At 38.9% G+C, this 16,178-nt stretch overlaps 1 protein-coding gene and 1 non-coding gene across 8 annotated transcripts in view; one reads left to right on the top strand and one right to left on the bottom strand.

Annotated features, from left to right (window-relative positions):
- BLM (BLM RecQ like helicase) overlaps positions 1–16,178 on the bottom strand; it is a 98,821-nt gene that overhangs the window by 47,359 nt on the left and 35,284 nt on the right. For 4 of the 7 annotated variants that reach the window (NM_001287246.2, NM_000057.4, NM_001287247.2 and 1 more), the window contains 6 exons: positions 13,870–13,997; positions 8,529–8,661; positions 7,553–8,214; positions 5,651–5,842; positions 3,394–3,512; positions 1,785–1,898 (listed from right to left, as the gene is read on the bottom strand). In NM_001287246.2, coding sequence (NP_001274175.1) covers positions 1,785–1,898; positions 3,394–3,512; positions 5,651–5,842; positions 7,553–8,214; positions 8,529–8,661; positions 13,870–13,997 — 1,348 coding nt within the window. Of the gene's footprint in view, positions 1–1,784; positions 1,899–3,393; positions 3,513–5,650; positions 5,843–6,385; positions 8,215–8,528; positions 8,828–13,869; positions 13,998–16,178 lie in introns of those variants that run through there. The other 3 variants (NM_001287248.2, XM_047432934.1, XM_006720632.3) reach the window with 3 other exon arrangements.
- LOC124903590 (small nucleolar RNA SNORD18) lies at positions 13,496–13,565 on the top strand. Its single transcript, XR_007064807.1, has one exon. It is a non-coding gene; the product is annotated as a small nucleolar RNA SNORD18 (small nucleolar RNA).

The following is a 16,178-nucleotide window of genomic DNA, read 5'->3' as shown; positions in this document are numbered from 1 at the left end:
GTTGCAGTGAGCCAAGATCGTGCCACTGCACTCCAGCCTGGTAACAATACCGAAACTCGGTCTCGAAAAAACAAAAACAAAAACAAAAACACCTCCATATAAAATTGGTTCTTATTTCAATCTATGAAGAGAACAGCAGAAGTAATAGAAAATAGCAGATCAAATTTTAGAATGTTCACCAACATTAAGCAAACAGCTTATTTAGCAGGTTAGTGGTTCTCAAACTTTTGTCTGCTTCAAGACATCTGAGGGCCACCATACATTTACATTGGCAACAGGGTTACATATCTGGGTTATATGGATGCGTGTTGGCTGGGGGAAAAATTATATATTTTATAGCTCTCTTCATAACAGGGCCTAGAAGCAATGACATCTCAGTAGCAACGAGCACATGTAGCACTCACATCTTGACCGGGACATGTCAAAAGGACAGAGAAGCCAGCTTGAGAGAGATGTCTCACTGGTCACATGTAGGACAATTAGAACATCAAAATACTTGATAATTGAATGTAACTCATTGAATAAATTAAGAAGTCGAGTTCATGCTAGTATCAATAAATATGTGGGCTGGGCACAGTGGCTCACGCTTGTAATCCCAGCACTTTGGGAGGCCGAGGTGGGCAGATCGCCTGAGGTCAGGAGTTTGAGACCAGCCTGGCCAAGATGGTGAAACCCCATCTCTACTAAAAATACAAAAATTAGCCAGGTATCATGGCACACACCTGTATTCCTAGCTACTTGGGAGGCTGAGGCAGGAGAATCACTTGAACCCAGGTTGCAGTGAGCCGAGATTGCAGTGAGCCGAGCACTCCCACCTGGGTGACAGAGTGAGACTCTACCTCAAAAAAAAAAAAAGAAAAAAAAAGTGTAACCAACAGGAAAACTCTTCCTTATGGCAAAACACCAACTACATTTAAAAAATAATTTTATATCTATCATAGTAATAACTGATTTGGGGAAGAATCATCAATGGATACTAAAACTTGTGGGTAAAATTCTGATCACTAGCAGGGTATTTACGTAGTCTCAAAGCATCCCACAACAGGATATCTACTAATTACAAAGGCCAAAAAGAAATGAGTAACTTTACAGCGGAGAAGTCTATCAGACACTACCATAACCAAGCGATCAGTTAACTAACATTGTCAGTAATGGGACGAATCGACATCAAGTGCCTCCTGACAGTGGGCATGAGAACATATCACTGTTTCTGTGATATTCAAGGAGTAACAGGAATCTAAGCAGGAGGAAGCAAGATAAACTCAAATTGAGGGACAATTCCGAAAACGACTGGCCTTCAAAAACTTCAAAATCACGAAAGATATTAAGAGAGAGAAACTGTTTACAAGATTACAGAGAAGCACAACGGAATGCATGCATGATCTGGGATTTTCTTTTGCTATAAAGGACATTATTGGGACAACTAGTGAAACCAGAATAAGGTTTACAGATTAAGTAATAGTACTGCATCAATGTACATCTCCTAATTTTGATCATTGTACTGAGGTTATATGAGAGAATACGTTGTTTTTAGGAAATGTACAGTGAAGTACTTAGGGCTTAAAAGGATACCATGTCTGCAATTTTCAATCAAATGTGTCAGGAAAATATATGCAGAGAGAGAATACAAAGCAATTATAGTAAAATGTTACCATTTGGGGTTTCTGGATGAAAGTTGTACAAAAATTCTTTGCACTACGTATACAAAATTTTGTTAAAATCTTAAAAATATATGTATTCTAGTGGTCTTTAATATATTTTAAAATAATGATATAAATACAAACCTTTTCTGGAGTGACATATAGAAGTTTTATGATTGGGTCTTTTTTTGATAACTGGAGGTAAATATTTGTAGCTTCTGAGTCAGTCTTATCACCTGTCAGATATGTAGCTGGAATCTAAGTATAAAAGTAGTAAACAATTTCAATTTTATACATTAACCTGACAAAATTACATTTGTCCTTAGGTTTTATAAATATTTTATTAGTCACATATCAAACCTATCAAAGGAAATACATATCTCAACATAACAAGTATGTAAGTACATACATTTTAAAAAACCCTTATTAAGCATAACTCAGGCAGGGCGTGGTGGCTCACGCCTGTAATTTCAGCATTTTGGGAGGCTGAGGCAGGTGGATCACTTGGGGTCAGGAGTTCAAGACTAGCATGGCCAACACGGAGAAACCCCATCTCTACTGAAAATACAAAAATTAGCCTGGCGTGGTGGCAGGTGCCTGTAATTCCAGCTACTCAGGAGGCTAAGGCAGGAAAATTGCTGGAGCTTGGGAGGCAGAGGTTGCAGTGAGCCAAGGTTGCACCACCGCACTCCAGCCTGGGCAACAGAACAAGACTGTCTTAAAACAAAACAAAACAAAACAAAAAAAAGCATAACACAAAATGGTCTTCTCATTATTTATTTCCTTTTCTTGCTTTATTTTTCATCTTTGTAAATAAGATAAATATGAATTTGGTATACAAGATATTCCAGTCCTACTGTATGGCATCTTTTTTTTAGATAAATGTATTTCAGGGTTTTAAAGATTAATGACAATGAAGGGGCCATAATATGACAAATGGTTGAACAATGGCTACCACCACTGCACTAAGACATTCTTTGGAAGAAAACCAAACTAGTGGTCTTATTGAGGGGTGGTGACTCATAACTCTTAAAACAGTTCTTTTTAATCACAATGTGATTGAGTCGGGGTCTCGCTTTCACCAAGGCTAGATTGTAGTGGCATGATCATGACCCACTGCAGCCTCAAACTCCTGGGCTCTAGCGACCCTCTTCCCTCAGCTTCCTAAGCAGCTGGGACCACAGGTTTTCACCACCATGTCCAGCTTATTTTATTTTTCTGTAGAGAAAGTCTTGCTGTGTTGCCCAGGCTGGTCTTGAATTCTTGGCCTCAAGCAATCCTCCCACCTTTGCCTTCCAAGTCACTGGGATTACAGGCATGAGCCACCACCCCCAACTACATTGTGAAGAGTTAAGTAGAATGCATTCATTTACTTCCTTAAACTCAGCCATGAGAAAAAAAGATATATGTGTGCAGGCATGCATGTGTGTATGCACTTTAAGATATAAGGGAAAGAGAACTATGCCGACCTGGCAGTACTGAAAAAAGAAATGATTTTCTATTCGTTAAAAAAATTTACATCAGCAAAAAATAGCATTGGTTAAAAGTTCTTACTAAGATACATTCTTGTAGAATAAAAACAGATTGAACTAGAGGTTATCTGTATCAAATTTTCAGACTTCTGTTCAACTGCAAATTTAACTGCTGTGCTTTATTTTTTACAAATCACGAACTATTTAATAAAAAGGTTATCCAGAGGACTGAAATTTAATTGTTTCTAAGGCGTGTTTTTATTAGTATTTTTATAACTTACATCCAAGGAAGTCAGCTTTTGGACTTGATCTACGATAAGTGATCTCAAGGGAGAAATGACAACAGTGACCCCAGGAGAAACACAGGCAGGGAGCTGGTAACACAAACTCTTACCACCTCCTGAAAGAGAACAATGAAAAAATATCTGTCAGGTTCTGTCTTCAGAGCATGAATGTAAAAGTTACAAAAGAAATCATATCATTAATAGGACACCAAGGCATATTGTCCCTGGTGCCAACAATTTGCCATACTCAAATGACTCAAACTATTATATTTAGGCAATTTAAATAATGTGTAAAAATGATCTTTAAAAAAAAAGTGTTTTTTTTGTTTTTGTTTTTGTCTTTGAGACAGAGTCTCATTCTGTTGCCCAGGCTGGAGTGCAGTGGTGCCATCTGAGCTCACTACAATCTCCACCTCCCAGGTTCAAGCAATTGTCATGCCTTACCCTCCCCAGTAGCTAGGACTATAGGCATGCACCACCACATCCTGCTAATTTTTGTATTTTTAGTAGAGACATTGGCCAGGCTGGTCTTGAACTCCTGACCTCAGGTAATCCACCTGCCTCAGCCTCCCAAAGTGCTGGGATTATAGGCACAAGCCACTGCGCCCGGCCTAGGACATCTTATATAGACATATATAATAGCAAAGGCAAGAATTAGGGCAGGAAACTTAAAATGTAGTGGAATACAGTAAAGTTTTTATTTCTAGTAGTAGAAGAGTCTCTAAAAATGACACTAGGATTAAAATAATTACTTTCTATATAATGTTTATTTACTTTTATTATTTATAAATCCCATCACTTTGGGAGCCTGAGGCAGGTGGACTGCTTGAGCCCAGGGAATTTGAGATCAACTTGGGCAACACAGTGAGATCCCATCTCTACAAAAAATTTAAAAATTAGCCAGGTGTGGTGGCACATGCCTGTAGCCCCAGCTTCTTGGGAGGCTAAGGTGGGGGGGATTGTTTGAACCCAGTTGAAGCTGCAGTGAGCTGTGATAGCACCACTGTATTCCAGCATGGGTGACAGATCAAGAGACCCTGTCTCAAAAATAATAAGAAATAAAAATAAAATAAACCTTATTTGGAATATTTACACACACACTATATATTATAATTATATATAATAGACATATTATATACAATACAATATACATATTATATATAATTATATATTATATATATCTCTCTCTCACAAGTGGTTGAAATTGGGGTGGAAGGACCTTAAAAATGCCGTCTTGAAACCCTAAAGGACAATGGGAAGCCCTGGAAAAAAAAAATCAATGGATTAGATCATTGCCAAGGTTTTTTCCAGCGTTAGAGTTCTGAAACACCAAAATAGGGTTGAAAGGAAGGCACAGAGTGATTAATAAATTAATAAAAATTGAAATGCTGATTATTAAGCCAAGGCTATCTAAATCTAAAAACCAGGATGAAAAAGTTCAGATGCCCAGTCAACATTATACAATAATGACAGCACTAGCTAACTTGCTAAAGGTCACAAGTCAGGTGATAGACAGAGGGAGGACTACACATAGGTACTGAAACTGCAAATTCTCCTTGCGCTCTGCCCTGTTGATTTAATATTCTCATGTGAATGACTATAAATCATTGAACAGCTGTCATAAGCTTTAACAGCACAATGAATGTCCTAGACTCTTTAAAGTGGGGCCAACACAATATCGTGCTAAATGATTTTCATTTAATCCTCATGCCACTCTGTGAACCAGGTACTTTACTGCTATCACCATTGCACACATGAGAAAATGGGCCCAGGGAGTAAAGTGCCTTGCATGTGGCCACACTGCTGTGAGCAGCAGAGCTGTTCTTTAAGTCCAGGCCTTTGGTCCATAGCTGATGGACCACTATGCATATATGCATATATGATTTAACCACTATGCAACACCAGATTGTTGCAAATAAACTGCCAGAAATGGTCATGGTCTCTGACAGCGATTTTTCTGTTTGATTTCCAAAACTGCTTAGACTAGAAAAAAGAAAAATTCCCAAAGAAAAATTCTAGATCAGTTCAACACAATGAGCTTCGAGTTGAAAATCTTACAGGGCTATAAACTTCATGATGTCAACAACCAGAACAAAGGATATAAAGTAATATGCTTTCTCACTATGGTACAGGAGGTTTAAGAGGTCCCTAAATGATAGAAATACTGTGTAGGTGGTCTTTTTATTTCTATTAAAGAGCTTTCATTTAACATCTGCCAATGGATTCCTGCCAATTCACTTCTAAAAATACATACCAGTCGGCATCAGGATAAAACAGTCTTCACCAAGCAGTGCAGCATTGATCGCCTCTAGCTGATTAGTTCTAAAATTATGCAGGCCAAATTTTTTATGAAAAATCTTCATCATTTCCTTTGTATGAGGAAAACTAAGACTTTGGAAACGCTCATGTTTCAGATTTCTGGATGCTAAATTTTGTGCTGACTTGTCTAGGAAAATAATCAACGTTAAGAAAAATCAGTACATGAATACAGTGAAAGTACAGCTTTAGCATTTCCCTTGCCCTGCAGAATCACTGGCACACGTTTCCCTGCAGCACAGTTCTTAAACTCTTTACTGGCTTTCCTTCCCTACAAGTCTCAAAGCCACCAAAAACTTGCCAAAGTCCCAAATCAAGTATTTCCTTGACTTTTTCTACAGCACCTACCACTACTTTTATTCTTTCCTTCCTCTTCTCCCTTCCTCCAACCATGACCACCAAGACAATCATGGTTTTCTACTCATTTTAAATTCCCTTTCCTGGCTCTACTACCTCCATCTGCCCCATAAATAGGGGAGGGAGTCTTTCAGATATTTGGGACTGGGCTCTGTAGACATTCTTTTTTGGAGCTTTCCTAGTCCTATGATCTTAAACATGACCCGTGTGCAGCAAATGCCTACACCTCTCTTAAGACCCAACTGACACCCTCCTAAGTTCCAGTCCTGCACACAGCTCCCGTTGTCTGCAAGACATTGGTACCTGAATGACTTACCAGCACTTTAACCTCTAGACTTAAACTAGCCCTTCTCAGCTTTTCTCCAAATCTGACTCCGCCTCCTGACTCCCCTGTTTGTGTTACTGGTGTCACAGTTTTCCCAGTCATCAGTGTCTGAAACCTTGGAGTCATCTGAGCTTCCTCAGGCTCTTCTTTCATAACATCTCTCACACGTGCCCCTGCTCTGCAGCCTGGCTGTCGCAACTCTGGTTCAGCACAGAGAACAAGAGGTACTCACGGAGCTCTGGCAGTTACGCTAACCCCAACACTCAACTGTCTCAAGATAATTGCAAACATCAAGTATGACACATTCTAACATGATACAAAAATAAATCCATTAATCGTTGTTTTAAAGGTCAGCAGCGTAACTGTAAGAAAAACCTCCGTGGTATTAAGTCATCAATGGCAAAAATAGGGAGGGCTGTACTTTATAAACTTATTTCAGCTAAAAAATACTTTTGATAACTTTATAGGGTTGATGTAAGGTTTTAAAATTATTTTTGGCTTTTCTCTGGAGCCTTCAGTGGCTAATTTCATTCCTCTCAAAACTTCTCTCTCACTAAGCTGTGAGCTCCAGGAGGGCAGGAACTACTTAGTATTTGTTATTCATCTTTAAATGATCGGCGCCCAACATAGCACATGGCATGCAGTGAGCCCTTAGACCCAAAGAAGTAGTTTGACTGATTTAAGACACTCCTGACTTCATATCCTTTATAGACTACCCTATATTTTAACATTTTAACACATAAAACATGCTTCTCTACTTTGTATTAATCGATTCTCATCAGTACAGAATTCTAAAATACATTTTTAGCATGCGAATCCATTTTTGCTTTTGCCCATCCCAAAATCATTAAAAACTTGGCCCTCATGAGTTTGTTTTAGGAACTAAAAAATGTTAATTCAAAGGCACATCACATTTGTAATGACTTTAGAGCCGTACTACAATAGGTTATAATTACACATTTTATAAAACTACAGCTGCTATAGAGACAAAAGAGCAACTTGCTTTTGAAATTGTGATTTGTAATTCATATCATCAGTAGAAATTTGCATAGCAACAATGTTTTCAGGCAATGATGATTTGCTATGGTTTTTCTTATATAATTCCTATTTTGGGACAGTTTTGTTTTCATATAAGCATTCAATTTATTTTAAACTTACCAGTATAATTCTGAATTGACTCTGAGAAGTTTATATTTTGAGCAGTAGATGACACTGGAAGACAGTCTGTCTTGGCTGAGGAAAGTCTTTCTGATACTGATTTAATTGGCCGACCTTCCTTGATGGGTTGATAGGCAGCTGTGGAAGATTTGCTGGCTGCTAAATTATGCATTATGTCTTCCCAGTCATCATCATCATCAAAGTCATCTATGTCAAAATTATCAATATCATAGGAAGGTTGGGTTTCTCTTTCTAAGTCATTTATTGAAGCAGTATGTTTATTCTGATCTTTCACAGCAGTGCTTGTGAGAACATTTCCTGGGAAATAAGAGCTTTCATTTTTTTTTCCTAGTCTTGGTGTTTCAGCCCAGTTGCTACTTACAAAGGACTTCTGTAAATGGGTATTGAATAAAGGCCTTTCAAAAAGATTCTTCCTGGTGGCAGAGAATCCTGTCTTTCCTAGGGTGGTAGTCAGTAAACAGTCCCCAGGAGAAACAGAATTTGAGGGAAGGTGTGAAAAATTTAACTCCTTCATAGAATTCCCTGTAGGGCAGGAATCACCCTCCATAGGGCCATCAAGTGAATCAGGCCTGTATCTCCACAATGAGCCAAGAAGACTGGCATCACTTTTATTAAAATCTACTTCCGTTAGAAGTTTCCTTCTGAAGAGAGAAAAGAGAACAACGTATTAAATATAAGTAGTTTACTCTGGTAGGCCACAAAAGCAAATCTGTAGTTTTCATACCAAATAGAAATTGTAGCAAAATATATTCGCTTTTTTCCCAATCTTAAAAACATGAATACGAATGTTAAAGGAGTGGTTTGAAAAGTAAACAAATCAAAAACATAGTGGCATGATGATCATCCTTATGCCATTTCCAGGCCAGAAAGCCTGAACATTTTGCCCTGTCCATTTTTCACTTAGAGTGGTAGAAATATAATCAGATATATTCCAGAAGGGGGAAAATTAAGATACCTTATGTTCCGCTGCTGAAGCAGTTCGTTCCCACAATCCAAAAGTTTCAGTTTATCATCAGGAATAGTATCAATTAATTTACAGATGTGCTCCATCACATGAATAAGCTGCTGCTGTAAACTTATCTGTCTAGCTATAAAATAATTATGTTGTTAATATTTTTCTTTGAGGGAAAAAAAAAAAAGTCTTGGCTAGGCATGGTGGCTCATGACTGTAATCCCAGCCCTTTGGGGAGGCCAAGGCAGGAGGATTGCTTAAGTCCAGGAGTTCAAGACCAGCCTGGGCAACACAGTGAGACCCTGTCACTAAAAAAAAAAAAAAAAGTCTTAAGATCTTGATTTCTTTTTCTTTTTTTTTTTTTTTTTTAAAGTGGGGCTGGGCACGGTGGCTCACGCCTGTAATCCCAACACTTTGGGAGGCCAAGAAGGGTAGATCACCTGAGGTCAGGAGTTCGAGACCAGCCTGGCCAATGTGGTGAAACCCCGTCTTTACTAATAATATAAAAATTAGCCGGGCATGGTGGTGCGTGTCTGTAATCCCAGCTACTCGGGAGGCTGAGGCAGGAGAATCGCTTGAACCTGGGAGGTGGAGGTTGCAGTGAGCTGAGATCGTGCCATTGCACTCCAGCCTGGGGGACAAAAGTGAGACTTTGTCTCACAAAAAAAAGAAAGAAAGAAAGAAAGAAAGAAAGGGGGTCTGGCTCTGTTGCCCAGGTTAAACTGCAGTGGTGCAATCACTGCTCACTGAACCCTCAAACTCTTGGGCTCAAGAGATCCTCCTGCCTCAGCCTCCCCAAGTAGGTGAGACTACAGGCCTATGCCACTGTGCCCAGCAACACAACACATCTTCTTCTTTTTTTTTTTTTTAATTAATTATTTTTTGTAGAGACAGGGTCTTGCCATGTTGCCCAGGCTGGTCTCAAACTCCTGGGCTCAAGTGATCCTCCCGCCTTGGCCTCCTAAAGTGCTAGGATTACAGGTGTGAGCCACTGTGCCCAGTCAAGTCTTAAGATTTTGAAAGTCACATATGTAAAATATGAAGCAGTGTAAAAACAAGATCATAAACAACCATATATTGTCCTATTATCTTCCTGTGAATTAACTTGAAATTGGGTTGTCTCTACGCTTTATCATAAGAGCTCATAACTGTTTTCATTTAATTTCATAATATTTAATAAATAATATTTCTTGGGGTAAGCAAGGTCATTGGCTGGAACAAAGGTTTATCAGTTAACTATGATTTTATTTTTAACTAACTTCATGTGCAAAGCTCACTGTGCCAACACAAAGTGTATTGTTAAGCGTTGGACAGGCAAGAGCCCTACCTGTTGTTTTGATCTGCCTGGAATCCAGGCTTCCCTTTAATGGTAACATATACTGTTACCAAGATTTCCTATTAGACCTACCCTTCCCACTCCCTCAGTAGGCATCTGACACAAGGCAGCCCAGTGAAAATTAACTCTGGAAATACTTAGGGCTGACTGGGAAAAAGTACCTCCCTTTTTCCAAGCTTAATATGATTCTGGTGGCCATTTCTGTCACCTTATAAAGAAAGACAGATTTCAAATAAGATTGATACAAAGGAAAAGTAGAAAGCACATAGAAAGAAATGGAGGTTTGACCCGGAGAGATGGGACAGAAGAGAGGAGAGAGAAGGGAAGTGAGAGACAGAGCAACTCCTGATATGATGTTTGAACAACTGAATCCTGCCAGCCCACTCCCATTTTAAAAATTAAGCCATAACTAATAAATAGAATTTCAAAGCAGTAGAGGTTTTATTTTATTTTATTTTTTGAGACAGATTCTTGCTCTGTCTTCCAGGCTGGAGTGCAGTGGTGCAATGTCGGCTTACTGCAACCTCCGTTTCCCCGGTTCAAGTGATTCTCCTGCCTCAGCCTCCTGAGTGCCTGGGACTACAAGCACACGCTACCACGCTCGGCTTTTTTGTATTTTTATTAGAGATGGGGATTTGCCACATTGGGCAGGCTGGACTCGAACTCCTAAACCTCAAATGATCCACTCACCTCGGTCTCCCAAAGTGCTGGGATTACAGGCGTGAGCCACCGTGCCAGCCCTTTCCTTCATCTAAAACCTCAGCTGCGCCTGGGTATGGTGGCTCACGCCTGTAATCCCAGCACTTTGGAAGGCTGAGGCTGGAGGATCACCTGAGATCAGGAGTTTGACACCAGCCTGGTCAACGTGGCGAAACCCTGTCTCTAATAAAAATACAAAAAAGCTGGGCATAGTGGTGCATGCCTGTAGTCCCAGCTACTCAGGAGGCTGAGGCAGGAGAATCACTTGAACCTGGGAGGCAGAGGTTGCAGTGAGCAGAGATTGCGCCAGTGCACTTTAGCCTGGGTGACAGAGCGAGAAAAAAAAAAAAAGATGAAAAAAAGGAAAAAAAATGGCAATAGGAAGCAAGGACAACAGATGCCTTTGCCACCTCTCAGGCCTAAAGTCTGTGAGAGTAAAAAACAGTTTAGGTGGGCTGCAGGGGAAACAGTACATATCCTCAGAAAACAATTAGAGAAAGAAGGGGAAGAAAATGATCAGAGAAGCGGATGAGGCTACAGGGACATTGCTGACAGAGCAGTCAGTTAAATGGTTTACAAGCCAGGAAGGACAGGAAGTGAGGACAGAACAGGGAGTGAAGATGGCAGGGTGAGGAGGGGCATCTGCACAAGAATGGCCTGGGAAATTTGGACTTCTGGTGACTGAGAGAAATGTGAGGTATGAGATGTAAAATGGAATTGCTGAATTCCTATCTTACTTCTGTTTTCTCTGCAAGGAAAACAAGCATCAGATTGGAAAGAGAATACACAATGGTCGGATGGAACTGAAAGCCAAGACAGGCTCAGAGGGAGATAAAAGGGGGTACCTAGCTATCAGAGACTAGCCCAAGACTCCTTGTCTAGACAGATTATACCTCAGAGTACAAAGGAAACCTGCAAACAGGATCTCAGAGCCCCTGTCACTGACACGTGTGTGAGGCATCTAGTGAATAAGAGAACTGATGGAAAGTGAGGACAGACAAACATTGTTCTAATTTTCAAAAAATTTGAAAGTGATTGCCAAAAACTACAGGCTGGTGATTTGATGTAAATTCAAAGCAAAATTCTAGAGCCTGTTATCAAATAGCTGCTTTGTGAGCTCTAAGGGGGAGGAAACAATAATAGAGTTAGCAAAAGTTCATAAAAACAAACCATCCGTCTTAATGTATTTCCTTTTTTAAAAGGATTACTAGACTGGCAGATAACAATAGTTATCATTTATGAAAGGCCTGCAGTGTACTAGGCACTTTATCTTGAATCCTGACAACTACCCAGCAAGGTAGATATCATTCTCCTCATTTTATAGAAGAAAAAACTGAAGTCCAGAGAAGTTTAACTATTTGCCATAGTCACATAGTCAAGAGTAGGAGGAGACAGGTTTCTATTACAGGTCTGTAGGACTCTAGAGTCAATGTCCCACCCATTCCTTCTTGCTGCCTCACACCTCTAACTTTTTGGAGTCACATAGTCAAGTCTTTTGTGTCTCCATGGATAAAGAACAGAAACATGGTCTGAAGACAGATATGTAACTAGCTGAACAAGAAGTGGTGATGAATGGACTGTTGTAAGCCAAGAGGGAAGCCTCTATTGACATGCTGTAGAACTCTGTCCTTGCCCCTGTTCTAGCTAACCATTTTATTAGTGAAACTTAATGATACAGAGACAGTATAATGCAGTTGTTATCAATGAAAACTCAAAAGCCTCAAGACTGCTGTGTTCAGATCCTAGCTCTGAGGCTAATTCTATGACGGTGTGTAACTATTTAACGCTCCTGTACCTTAGTTTCATTATCTGTTAAATGGGGATAACAGAAACTACCTTAAAGTGGGCCAGGCGCGGTGGCTCACGCCTGTAATCCCAGCACTTTGGGGGGCCGAGGTGGGCGGATCACAAGGTCAGGAGATCAAGACCATCCTGGCTAAAATGGTGAAACCCTGTCTCTATTAGAAATACAAAAAATTAGCCAGATATGGTGGTACACACCTGTAATCCCAGCTAATCAGGAGGCTGAGGCAGGAGAATCACTTGATCCTGGAAGGCGGAGGCTGCAGTGAGCTGAGGTTGTGCCACTGCACTCCAGCCTGGGTGACAGAGCGAGACTCCGTCTCAAAAAAAAAAAAAAGGAAACTACCTTAAAGTTTGAGGTAGTTTATGGTGATGACTGAATTAGTTAATATTGTAAGGCACTTTATAAGAGCGCCCAGCACATCAGTCACCTCCTGAATATCTCTAAAATAAATTGAGTCCAAAATAAACCACAAAAAAACTGGAGGAAACAAAAACAACACACAGAGAACACTACACACATGACCCGCACATGCATGCAGACGTCGCTAAAAAAGCCCAGCAGCCCTCAGACTCGAATGCACGACAGAGATATCCAGAGAACAAAGAAGAGCTCTCGGAAATTGCCTTGATAGAAATTTAAAAATTCCACAGAAGAGTTAAAGATAAAATCAAGGAAATATCCTAAAAAGTAGAAAATCAAGAGATGAAAAATAGAAAAGATAATTAATGGAAGTCTAACATGCAAATCATAGAAGTTCCAGGAAGAGTGAAAAAGAGAAAAAGAAGGTAAAAAGAAATAATGCCAGAAAAATGTCTACAAGAGGATGTATATTTTCAGACTGAAGGTGCCTCTGAGCAGCAGACACCAAGAGTGGGAAGGGGGACTGTCGTTTATCAAAGTCTTGCACTGCTATCTGATTATTTACACTAGATATTTAATAAAAAATAAAAAATGAATTAGAAACAAAACAAGCAAACAAGTATTTAGCTTTAAATGAACATCAAGACCCAGACCTAGACTCAGAGTATATACAAGGGAGAACCGGAGGATGAAAGGTCAAGAAAGCAATTTCTAGCAAGGAGAGTTAAAAGACCTAATAATATTTAGTCAAGGAGGGGGAGGGAAACTCTATTATGATGAGATTACGCTCTGTGGTCCGTGTTTCTGAAACACAGGATTTTGTGGAAGTTCTCATTTGTAAATAAAAATTTAAAAACCTCCTAGAATTAAAGTTGCAGATCTTGGCTCAGTATGAGAGATGATTTCTAACAAGTAGCATTTTCAAAATGGGGAATGAACGCCCTTGTGAGAGCATGAGTTCATGAGTTGTTCAGGCAAATGCTGGCTAACCAGTAAACAAGGTTATGACATTAGAAGAAAAGAAACTACAAATCTGCCATTTTATAACATACAGCCACAGGTTCAAAACACAATCTTTGTGTTACGTTGTTTTCAAAAGTAAGTAGTTGAAATACATGGTATGTCTAAAATATTGCTTGTACCGTCACAGTCTGTGCTGGTTTCTGGATTCAGCTCCTGCATACTCATTTTCTCAGGTTTTGACAAAAGATCTTTTGATGTGCTAAGAACATCCTCTTTTCTGTCAGAGGTGTCAAGGTCCTTTAACGTACTGCAAATAAAAAAAATGTTAAGCCAATCATACTATAGGCTAGACTCAATAAATGTATAATTTTGAAACCCTTAATATTTTTCTACCACTGATCAGACAATATATAACAGAAAAGAGAAGTAGTTTTTTAAATTTCCTCAATTATAAAACTTCTTTAGCTGGTCCTCAAAGTTGTCCAGAAAGAGCCCTTTTCAACATTATCTCCGATTATGTCCTTTCAGTAACACAAATCTTCAGTCATACTGTACCACTTACATTCTTCATATAAGCCCTGCATTGCCTATTTTGGGGATTTTGCCACTGATCCTCTCAATTTGGAAAACCTGCCATTCCAATCTCTTCGTACCCAAATCACACCTGTTCTTCTAGCCCCAGCCAAAGCATTACTTCTCCAGCAAGTGATTATTAATGTCTCTTTTTTCTGAGATTTCAAAGCACTTTTTCTGGACTTCTCTTATTATGCAAATATATGTACATGTGTTTTTGTGTGTCTGCATATATAATTACCTCACCACACAGATTATACAAAAACATATTAACATATAAACCTGGTCAGTCTGATTACATAGAAAAAATACTTTACAAATAACAAAATAAATTAGTACTGAATGAGTGTTAAAGAGAGGATACTGTGGAAATCCAAAGAAAGGTAACATTTTTTGGAACTTTAGAAGGCTTTGCCAAGGAGATAAGATTTAAGCAAACTGAATGACAAGTATGGGGAAAGTGTCAGACTATGAAAGAAAGATTTTAAAAAGGACATTTCTATTTGCTTGACATCTGGGAATCAACTGTATTTTCCTAAAGAATAATTTTGGAATGCAACTTTCTAACTAAATCAAAACAGTGTAACTTTTTAATATTATTTTTTAAACAATAACATTATAATTAAAGAAAATGATATGCTTTCTAGATTGTTGGTTTGACTCATTAAAACCACTGGGTTATTGCAAGGGCATAAGTGGAGATAAAGCTGAAAAAGGTAAATTGTGGCCAGAAGATGGAGAATCTTGAGGGCCAGCTACAGAGGTTTTGGAAAAGAGGAGTTTGAAAAACAGGTCTCTCTTCTCTGTTATATACTGTCTGACCACTTGACTTCTGAAATTCAGAGGTTACAACCAGTATTTTTTAAAACTGAAATAAAATGTAGCATAGAATTTAAGCTGTGCATTGCACAAAAAATATTGTGAAAATTCTATTTCAGTTTTATAATATATACACATATGTATACTAAGTTACAATGGGAAATGTACAAAGAGAGTCTACCTTGGAAATACTTTGTAAAACAAGCTTTTTTAATTGCTAAGACTCTAGGTAAATTTATTTATGATATGACAATTTGATAAATTATGTAGCCATTAAAAGGAATTAAATATGTAGCAATTGGAAAATGATTTAGAAATAATGCTAAGAGAAATAAAGTAGAATATAAAATTATAATTACATGTTGATTACAACAATGCAGAAATCAAACACACATGTATCAAAACTGAAGATGGATAAAGAAAACAGTCAGAATTGTGGGACTACTAGTATTCCTTCTCTCTCTCTTTTTAATTTTTTAGAGATGAGGGTCTCGCTATGTTGCCCAGGCTGGAGTGCAATGGTTACTCACAGGCATAATCACAGCATACTACAGCCTTGAACTCCTGGGCTTAAGGGATCCTCCTGCCTCAGCCTCCTGAGTAGATGGGACTACAGGCCACTACCATGCCACCGCACCCAGCAGTGCTCCTTCCTTCTTATTTAGAATCCTTGTTAAAATGATTATATTATTTGCGTAACACACATTTTTAATGAGTAAAGAAAAAAGCCAGGCATTCAACAAGGAATCAGTATGACACCAGGGAAGGCACTACACTGGATCTGAGTCCATTTGTCATTCATTGTATCAACCTGGGCAATTCCTTGCTCCTCCCTGGGCCTCAGCTGTTTCACCTGGTAAATGAGAATGCTGGTTTAGAATTGAGACTCTATATAAACTTTTGCTCAGTTTAGTATATACTATACTCTACCACTCAACTGGTCTGAGAGTGAGACTGGGATGAGGACGAAGGTAACATTGACACTTAGCAATTTAAGCTGTTGATGAGTCGTGTGGAGTATCTATTTTTCTCGTAATACTACCAATTAACAATAATCATGTCACCAATTTGCTAAAATTGAGTGAATAACAAATAC

Source organism: Homo sapiens, chromosome 15 (assembly GCF_000001405.40).
Source record: "Homo sapiens chromosome 15, GRCh38.p14 Primary Assembly".
Classification (NCBI taxonomy): domain Eukaryota; kingdom Metazoa; phylum Chordata; class Mammalia; order Primates; family Hominidae; genus Homo; species Homo sapiens.
The sequence above is the reverse complement of the archived record's forward strand: the minus strand, read 5'-3'. Positions and strand labels throughout refer to the sequence as shown.